Source organism: Homo sapiens, chromosome 1, assembly GCF_000001405.40.
Source record: "Homo sapiens chromosome 1, GRCh38.p14 Primary Assembly".
Lineage (NCBI taxonomy): Eukaryota > Metazoa > Chordata > Mammalia > Primates > Hominidae > Homo > Homo sapiens.
This window is the reverse complement of record NC_000001.11, coordinates 5,380,977-5,390,069: the sequence shown is the minus strand read 5'-3', so window position 1 is coordinate 5,390,069 and position 9,093 is coordinate 5,380,977. Positions and strand designations below refer to the sequence as shown.

General features: G+C 48.6%; 1 annotated feature.

Moving 5' to 3' along the window:
- Positions 417–1,616: an enhancer, noted in NCBI's record as "CDK7 strongly-dependent group 2 enhancer chr1:5448514-5449713 (GRCh37/hg19 assembly coordinates)". NCBI's record gives its function as "activates an origin of replication core promoter dependent on BRD2, BRD4, P300/CBP, MED14 and CDK7 cofactors, with strong dependence on CDK7, by STARR-seq in HCT116 cells {active_cell/tissue: HCT116}" and the evidence as "EXISTENCE:reporter gene assay evidence [ECO:0000049][PMID:35650434]".

Sequence of the window (9,093 nt, the reverse complement as noted above, 5' to 3'; positions counted from 1 at the left end):
TCACCATGTCCCAACTTCAGGTTAAAGTGTTGGGCTCCAGTAGGGTCTTCAGGCTGGACTGGCTTGACCCAGTGGAAGTGGGGGAATCTGTAACCCTGGACAGTGAGCCCAAGGCAGTCCCTACACTGGCAGGTGTGAGCAGCCACCATTTCCCCATGCTTGCCATGTTCTCATCACCATTATCCATACTAGAATTGCAGCAGAGAGGAACCCAGGGTCCCTCCTCAGTTCAGAGCCACCAAGCCTCCAAGTTCATCCTGACCAAGGCATCCATGCAGTGAACTTGTGAGCCAACGAGCATGAGCTCCACAGACCCAACTTCCACATGGCGTCCAGGGATGACTGATCCCATTCAGCCAACTCAGAATTCTGGGTGTGCGTGACTGGGCCATTAAAGGAACTAGCTCTGTGTGTCCCGAAGCACCGGTTTGCCAGTCAGATTGCCTGAAATCAGAGCTGCTCACAACAAGGGGCTTTTATTTATTTTTTGGAGAAATACTGACATTTCCTAAAATAGTGGTCTTTTATTCAATTGACAGTAAGTTCGGGAGCTGTTACACACGATCTGTGCCTGGTGGGTGACGGTTAGGAACGGAGCTCTTTGTGAACACATCTGCATGCTGAAGAGGGTGGAGGGTCCCTTTTCACAAACACTTTGTTCGCAGCCCCCACATCCTGTGGGCCAGGGGACAGCGAGGACTTCACGCGTGTGCTGGTTGGCAATGCCAGCATGTCCTCTCCCTGCCGCTCTGGGGATTCTAGACCGTACACACCGCTCTTCCAGTCTGTAGTTCATTTTAATTTCCTTTTCTTTGAAAAGAAGTACTCTTCATTCCTTTAGCCACCTTTTTGGCCACAAGATATGAGTCACAGATGAAAGCTACATTGTAAAAAGATGGGTTTAAAAAAACCAAACCAAAAACCCCACCCAACAACAAAACCCATTTCCTGTCTTTGAGGCAAAGCAAGAGAGAAGGGAAAAATATCTGAAATAGCAGGTAATAAAAAAACAGCTTCTACCGAGAGACTATCTTCTCTATGTCTGAAAGGCATTGGCTTTGGAAATAACTAGAAAGTTCTTGAGAGAGAGTTGAGAAGAAAAATACCAGGGAGCAGGTATTTTTCCATCAAAATTTTACACCAAACTTAAGAAAATTGCTTTAGAAGGCTTACAGCATGATTCAAGGGAATGAGCAGCCACCTCCTCTAATCATCACTTCCCCTCCTTACATGTCCTCCCCATGCCTGCAGGATGACGCCAGCCTCCTCAGCTGAAGGTGCAGACTGATGACCAGGAGAAGGGAGCGATCCTTCCTCCATTCCCTTGAAGCCTGTCCCTGGGGAGCCTGTAGGATCGCCGAGAAACACTAATCCGTTCTGCAAGGACGGGATGGAATGCATTGGGGGAAGATGCATTAAACAGACACCTCTCTTTAAGAAGCCATCTTACTAACTCAGTGGGTAATTCTTTGGCTTGATGGCTCTCCTCCTGGAGCTCCAGTAAATCTTCCAAGGAGCCAGTGCCGCACTGGAGGTGCTGGTCCATCTGTTGATCTGTGGATCTGCAGAAATGGGCTCCAGGGAGCATTCACAGGTGAGATCACAGCAAAGAAATGACGGATTGCCCAACTTGTGAGGAAGTGCCATCAGAAAAGACTCCATTTTGGGAGAACCATTTAGCCAGGCCGGGGAAGCTGGCTCTGGGCTTCTGTATTTTCCTTAGGAGTTTGCTGGTTTCCTAGAAGTGCTGGATTTATCAGCAAAAATCCCAAAGTGGCCGTGGCTGGGTTGTTGACCAAAGCCGTTGGCTTCAGAGCTTCTCTGGCAAAGAGAGAGTGAGCAGAACAAGTGTTTTAGGCTCCTGGCTGAGGAAGGGAGGGGAGTCCTCCGCATGTCTGTGCCTAAATATCCACGTTCCTGTCTTTTCCTTGTTCCAAGAACCCTCCTGGCCTCCGAAGCCTCGCTCCTCTCCTTCCATAGAGTCAAGGGCACCAGCACATCGGGTGCCTTGAGCTCTTCCGGGGATCCAGGGGTGTCACGGGAAGAAGGACCAAACTACCGACATGTTTGGGGGTTCTCTGGAGAAAACGAAATTGAGCAGGACTTAGAACTTCCCAGAGCCCTGTGAGCTTTGTGAGTTTCCAAGAGCAGAATGTGTTAGAATTTATTTCCAAACTCCTAGCACTCGGATTTGAGTCTGTTATGGGTGCATTGAAGTCCTAACTGCCAGTACCGGTGCATGGCAACTTATTTGGAAATTGCAGATATAATCAAGTTAAAGTGACACAGAGACACACACAGAGATACAAACAGAGACAAGAAACAGAGACATACACACAGACACAGAGACAGACAGACACACAGAGACACACACAAATACACAAAGATAAACACATAGAGACACACACACAGACATAGAGACAGACACAAAGACACACACAGACACACACACAGACACACACACACAGACACAGAGATACACATACACATGCAGGGACAGACACACAGGCAGACACACACACAGACATAGAGACAGACACACAAAGAGACACAGACACAGAGACACACACGCAGTGATACACATAGAGACAGACACAAGAGACACAGACACATAGAGACAGACACACAGACACAGAGATACACACAGAGAAGACACAGAGACACACACAGACACACACACAGGCACAACTGAGACAAGACACAGAGACATACACACAGACACAGACACACACATAGAGACACACAGATACACACAGGCACACACAGACACATGGGGACAAGACAGAGACATACACACAGACATAGACACACACAGAGACACACAGATACAGGCACACACAGACATAGACACACACAGACACACATACACAGACATAGAGAAATGCACACAGACACACATACACCACACACACCACATACACACACTACACACACACACCACATACACACACACCACACACACCACACATACACACACCACACACTACACACACACACCCACACACACCACACAGACACCACATAGACACCACACACTATACACCCACCACACACCACACACACCACATACACACCACACACTACACAAACACCACACCACACTCACATACCACACACACACCACACACACATACCATACACACACACACACACACACACACACACACACCATACACTACACACGCACCACACCACACGCACAGACACCACACACACCACACATACACACACACACACATATGCTCTGGAAAATTGTCCTAAGGGCACACAGCAAATGAAGAAGCATTCATTCAAGAAAATCTACTCAACCTTGGAGAGCTTATTATGGCACTTGAGTCAGAACCCCCACCACCTGTCCCCTCCTACCACCTCAGTTTGTGTTCCTTGGGGAGCATTTTATAAACCCTGATGCTCCCGTGGACTCCTGGAACCAGCTGATGACAGGGGAAGCTGGTATTGAGAACTGGGTCTGCTGCCAGACCATGGTTCAGCGGGTCAGCCTGGGCCTCGTGATGAGTGGGGATGTGGAGACAGTCTCTGGCAAGTCAGCTTCATTTCCCTGCTCTGGGATGAGAGGTGGGGATGGCATAATAGGCAACAGCAATAAACTTCTCCCTCTGTTCCTGGCAATTCTGACCCAGCCTTTGGGAATCTGCTTTGAAAAATGTGTTTAAGCCCCTTGCCCCCATCTTGGGGCAATGGCTACACCACCGCCCGCTCCCCCCCATCTTCCCTCACGTGTTCAGCATTGTCAACACTGCGTCAGGACTGTCCAACCCCTTTAGATTCAGGGGAAAGCAGGGAAGCAGGGACTGCTGGCATCCTCACTCTTGGAGAGCCCTCCTCCCACCAGCCTGTGCCAGGTAGAGAGTGGATTTCAGTGACTTATGTTGTACTCAAGTGGTTCTTCTTTCCTAAAATGGTGAGGAGAACTAATTAACCTGCAGTAATTAGAGAAATGCTTAGATTTCCTTTTCGTGTGCTTAGACTACTAATGGCCACTGTGTGCAGAAGAGGCTCTGATTCACTGGGACGGTTCTGAGCCTCTCAGGCGTAACCCAGCACCTCCTTCCAATGGATGGCATCTCAAGTCACACGGTAGTGTAGCCACCCCCTCCAAAAGGAGACATTGTGGTCGGCTGTTGGGAGCTATCTGTCAAGCAGGTGTCAGGGGTCTGTCACCCACTGTTATGGACCAAATTGTGTGCCCTCCAAATTTATGTATTAAAGTCCTAGACCCCTGTGCCTGAGGATGTGACTGTGTATGGAGATAGGATCTTTAAAGAGGTCAGTACATCAAATTGAGGTCATTAGGGTGGGCCCTAACTCAATAGGACTGTTGTCCTTATGAGAAGAGGAGATTAGGACACAGACACACAGAGAGACGACCATGTGAGGGCACAGGAAGAAGACAGGCGTCTGCAAGCCAAGGAGAGAAGGAACCAGCCATGTGGCACCTTGACCTCAGACTGCCAACCTCCGAACTGTGAGATGATACATGTCTTGTCTAAGCCCACAACCTAGGGTGTTTGCAGCAGCCCAAGCAGCCCTATTGATAGGGGAGGTGTCAGTTGGCTAAGTTCCTTGGTTGGATAATGGAGCCCACAGTCCATTCACCAGCCTGTGCTTCCTACCCCAGTCTCCCGACGCGACTCCAAGTAGCAGACAGCAGAGCCACAGCCAGGCCGGGATGCCCACCATAGCGACCCCCCTTTTATGTCTAATTAGAGCCATATTGTTATGCAGGAAAGCATCTGTAACAAACACTCCAGCAAGATGCCTCGGGAGCTGAATTTCGAATGTTCTCTTTCTGTCCCTGGACACCTGCTGGAAGTTCTGGAGCAAGCTTTGAGGCAATTCGCAACTTGCTATGCCTCCCGGCACAAAGCAGTATTTCTCAGACTCAGGCGTGTGCAGGAGAAGGGGCTGCAGAGGTATCCGAGGAGCCTCAGAAGTTCACAGAGCCCTTTATAAACAATGTGTTTTCAATTAATTGCAACCTAGAACAAGGAGGGCCATCTGCATCCTCTAGGATGGCAGTTTCACACTGAACGGGGGTCTCCGTTCCTGCATTGCGTGCATTTTCCATGTCGTTAGGGTTCAGTGAAAGGCACCCCGCTTGCTGTGGCCTGGATAAGAGCACAGACAAAAAAGAAAGACAGGAGATTGAGGGCCTCACAGTGACCCATGGAATGAAAATCACTGCCCTGGCTCTTAGGCACGTCTCTGAAGCCAACACAAGTCTCACCTGGATCTACTTGGCTCCGTTAAGCAAGAATTCCAAGTTAAACCATATTTAAAGATGTCTTCTTTCAATAATGAATGTTGTGTTGCCTTGTTTAAATTGATGGGTCCATGAAAATAACAGATCAATGGTTAAAAATGAATGCATTGTTAAAAAAGAAAGCAAAAACAATGTTAATGATGAATTAATTGGTGGTCCATCATGCTCAAAAGCAAAAGACCCAAGCTGATTTATCAAACGTAGGCTACACCAAGACCCCTTTCTCACCCAACACAGGCTATTTGGTTTCAGCCAACAGCAGCATCCGTCACCTTTGTGATGTTAATTTGAATTTTATTATTTTTATGGTTTTGCTTGTATTTGAATTGTAAATTTATTTTGTTTCTATAGTTGCATAAGAGCTATAATCATCAGCAGTTTATACCTAGCTTTATTAATTCTGCTTATTGAAGTAACATCATTATAAAAATAATTTGAGTTAAAATGCTCAAGCTATCTAAGCAATATAATATCATTCTGCTGTCTAAACTGAATCTCTAGAGAAATAAACGTGTATACCTAAATGAAAAGGTATTTGTTTATTTTATATGATATGTATAATGTGTATACATACTTATGAATATACAGTATACATGTATGTATAGAATATATACACACTCATATTTATACAATTTGCAAATGTGATGGATGTATATGTGTGCACACATGATATGTATTATGTATCTTTGTTTTTTATTTCAGCCTGGGCGACAGAGTCTCACTCTGTCGCCCAGGCTGGAGTGCAGTGGCTCGATCTCAGCTCACTGCAACCTCTACCTCCCGGGTTCAAGTGATTCTCCTGCCTCAGCCTCCTGAGTAGCTGGGATTACAGGCCTGCACCACCCCGCCAAGCTAATTTTTTGTATTTTTAGTAGAGACGGGGTCTCAACATGTTGACCAACTTGGTCTCGAAATCCTGACCTCAGGTGATCCGCCTGCCTCGGCCTCCCAAAGTGCTGGGATTACAGACGTGAGCCACTGCCCCTGGCCTGTGTCATGTCATCTTTAAGAGATCTACACAGTACTGAAGTGTGGCCAAATGGTGATGGGCATGTATTTGGAATAAGACAGACCTGGACTCTACTGCTCACCCTCTCACTTATTAGTTTATTTTTTCATCCCTGGACCTCAGTTTCCTCAAATGTAAAATAAAATAATAAAATAAAATAGGAATAATATACCTAACTCACAGCATTATCATAAGAATTGAATAAAATAATTGCAAAATGTCTGGGCACATTGTAAGCAATAAATAGCAGCTCTAAATTTGTTCTGCGTTTGCAGAAGAGCTGGAGAAGTGACTCTGAAAACCAAAAACAGCCTGCAAGTCCTCGGGACAGTGGCTCTGGAGCCGCTCCATGGGCTGTGAGCCACGCTGATGGGGGCTCTCTCCTCTCAGGAAGGCCTCAGCCACCCTGGGATCTGGAGTCCTGGGAGGCTGATGTTTGGCACTGACTGCCCCTGAGGTTCCTCTGCATTCTGGACACCTGAAGATGGACAGGTGGCTGCAGGGGTGATGTGGAGATCCCCTGGGGGGCTCCAAGGCCATTCCCAGTGGGGCCAGGGGATGTCCAGGAAGAAGAATGCCCAGCCCTGTGGCTCTGCGGTCTCTCTGCACACACCGGCTCTCATGCCCTCACCTCCTTGGGCTTACATCTTTGGGAGGCAGAATGGGGTAGAGAAAATGCTCAGAGATCACAGTCTTGCTTTCCAATCCTCCCTCCACCACGGCCTACCTGTGGGCTGCACAAGTCTCCCAAGCACTCCCTCTGTGATTCCTCATTTTGGGGGGGTTAAAAGCCCCCCTCCTGTGGTGTCATCATCTTCACGAGCGTTGAAGGAGCCATCCGTGGAGGGGTGTTTAGTCCAGTTCCTAGGAGATGCTCACTGATTGCCTTCCTCTTCTTCTGATCTGGTCCAGACAGTTGCCCCGGAGAATCCTAGATCCGATTGGCCCCCTGGAGGTTATTTCTCTTCCATCTCATTTCCTTCCCTTGGCTCATCCCTCATCCAGACTCTTGGAAAGACCAGTTGTCCAGCCAGGGATTCTGGGAAAGTGAGAATCTTATGTTCTCAAACCACAGAGACAAGGAGAAACCCAAGGCCAGGAATCCACTTCCCATCTACTCCCATCCCTGGAGGAGAGAGCTCCTGTGTGCCTGTGGCTGAATGTGGCTGGGCTGTGCCCTGGGTCTGTCGTAGAAGACAGACCCGGGCATGCCTGTCTTGCAGCTCCTACGCTGAGATGTTCCAGAGAGCTGGTGCTGATTGCCTGTGTGCTGAGTGCCTGGCAATGTGGTCGTCAGTTCTCCCGAGAGAACCTCCTGAGTTTTCACCAGCGCCATGTTCCTGACTTAGGAAAGTCGTCCACACCTGCCCCAGACGCCCCATCCTTTCTTTGTCTTTTGTGACCTCACTGACCACCCTTCCCCTCTACTCTGCAGACACAAGGAGGAGCGGGACTTGCGGCCAGTGGATTATTGATCCTCTCTACGTGATGCTTGCCCTTGACGGGCTATTCTTGGCACACTTTTCACCCCAGAAGCTTCCCCTGCCAGGTGGCCTGCTTCAACGCATCAGCCAGTGTGTGCTCAGGGAGCAGAACTCACACTTGCGTTAGCTTGAACAAAGAGTAAGTAGGAGGTGAAGTCTGTGAGGACAGCCCGGTGCTGCATTCCAAAGCCAAGGACAGAGATGCAGCAGAGCCCATGCTTCACTGTCTTCCGCCATTTTCCTGCTTCTGGAGCAATAGTGTTTATCCTTGCCTTTCTGAGTCTCCTGATGCACAGACTAGAAACCCATCTCCGCGGGGTCTGTTACCAGGGCAGTCCCTGCCTTGAGGTCTCCTTGCTTCCCATTTTCTCCACGTCCACGCCTGTGGATCATGGACCATCCCTCCTACTCCAACAGGATGTGGAGCTGACCTCCTTAACCCAAGATAAATATCTTTACCCACTTCTTTTTCTCAACTAAAATGATTTGCACAGCAATTTTCGTATTCTGGGAAAATGTGAAGGGAAGAAATAAGAGGTGCAAAATGGGAGTGCTGGTAATTAATTGAGAATGGAGAAGCAGAGTTCCATTCAGGCGGTAATTGGATTTTAACCCCTTGGGAGTTGTTTTAAATGCAGATACAAATGTACGAGCTATCTTTCCTTGCAACGCAGCTCCCTCTCGGATCCAAGGAGGCCTGAAATCCAGGGAGGAAACTTCCTAAAATGTGGTGAGCTTGGCCAAAAATGAGTCAGAACATTCGACCTATCAGGTAGGTGCTGACGAAGAATGGCCATTCTATGTCATTGAGAGCTGCCCAGGAGGCTCCTGGGGACACAGTTTCTTCTTCTCTCGGTCTTCCTGTTGGACCCATAAAATAGCAGTATTTTACTGTTTTTTTGATGTGTTGGGAACATTGCCATTGCCCTCTTCCAGGACATCTGACTGTTGAGCTCTGGGGAAGGGGTGGGAGTTGGGGTGTCCAGCCCTTCTGGGCTCTCTTTCTGGTTTCCCTGTCCAGAGATAGGGGCTCCTCCTTCAGCTCCTGCCTCTAGGTGGTAAGCACACCTAGTTCAGTCTAGGTCCTGATTTTAAGGGGAGCTCATGTGATGGAAGCAGGGAGTCATCACTTTGCCCAATTGTCAGGGTCACCCCACTGGTGCAAAGCAGGCTGTGGAGACTGCAGGGGGCTGGGCTATGTCTGCTCTCAGCTCCACCTCACTGGACCTGGGGGTAGTCTCAGGAATGGGCTCCCGGAGTTGCAAAGGGCAGCACTCATGAGGTAGTATGCAGTGACTCCTCACTCATGAGGTGGT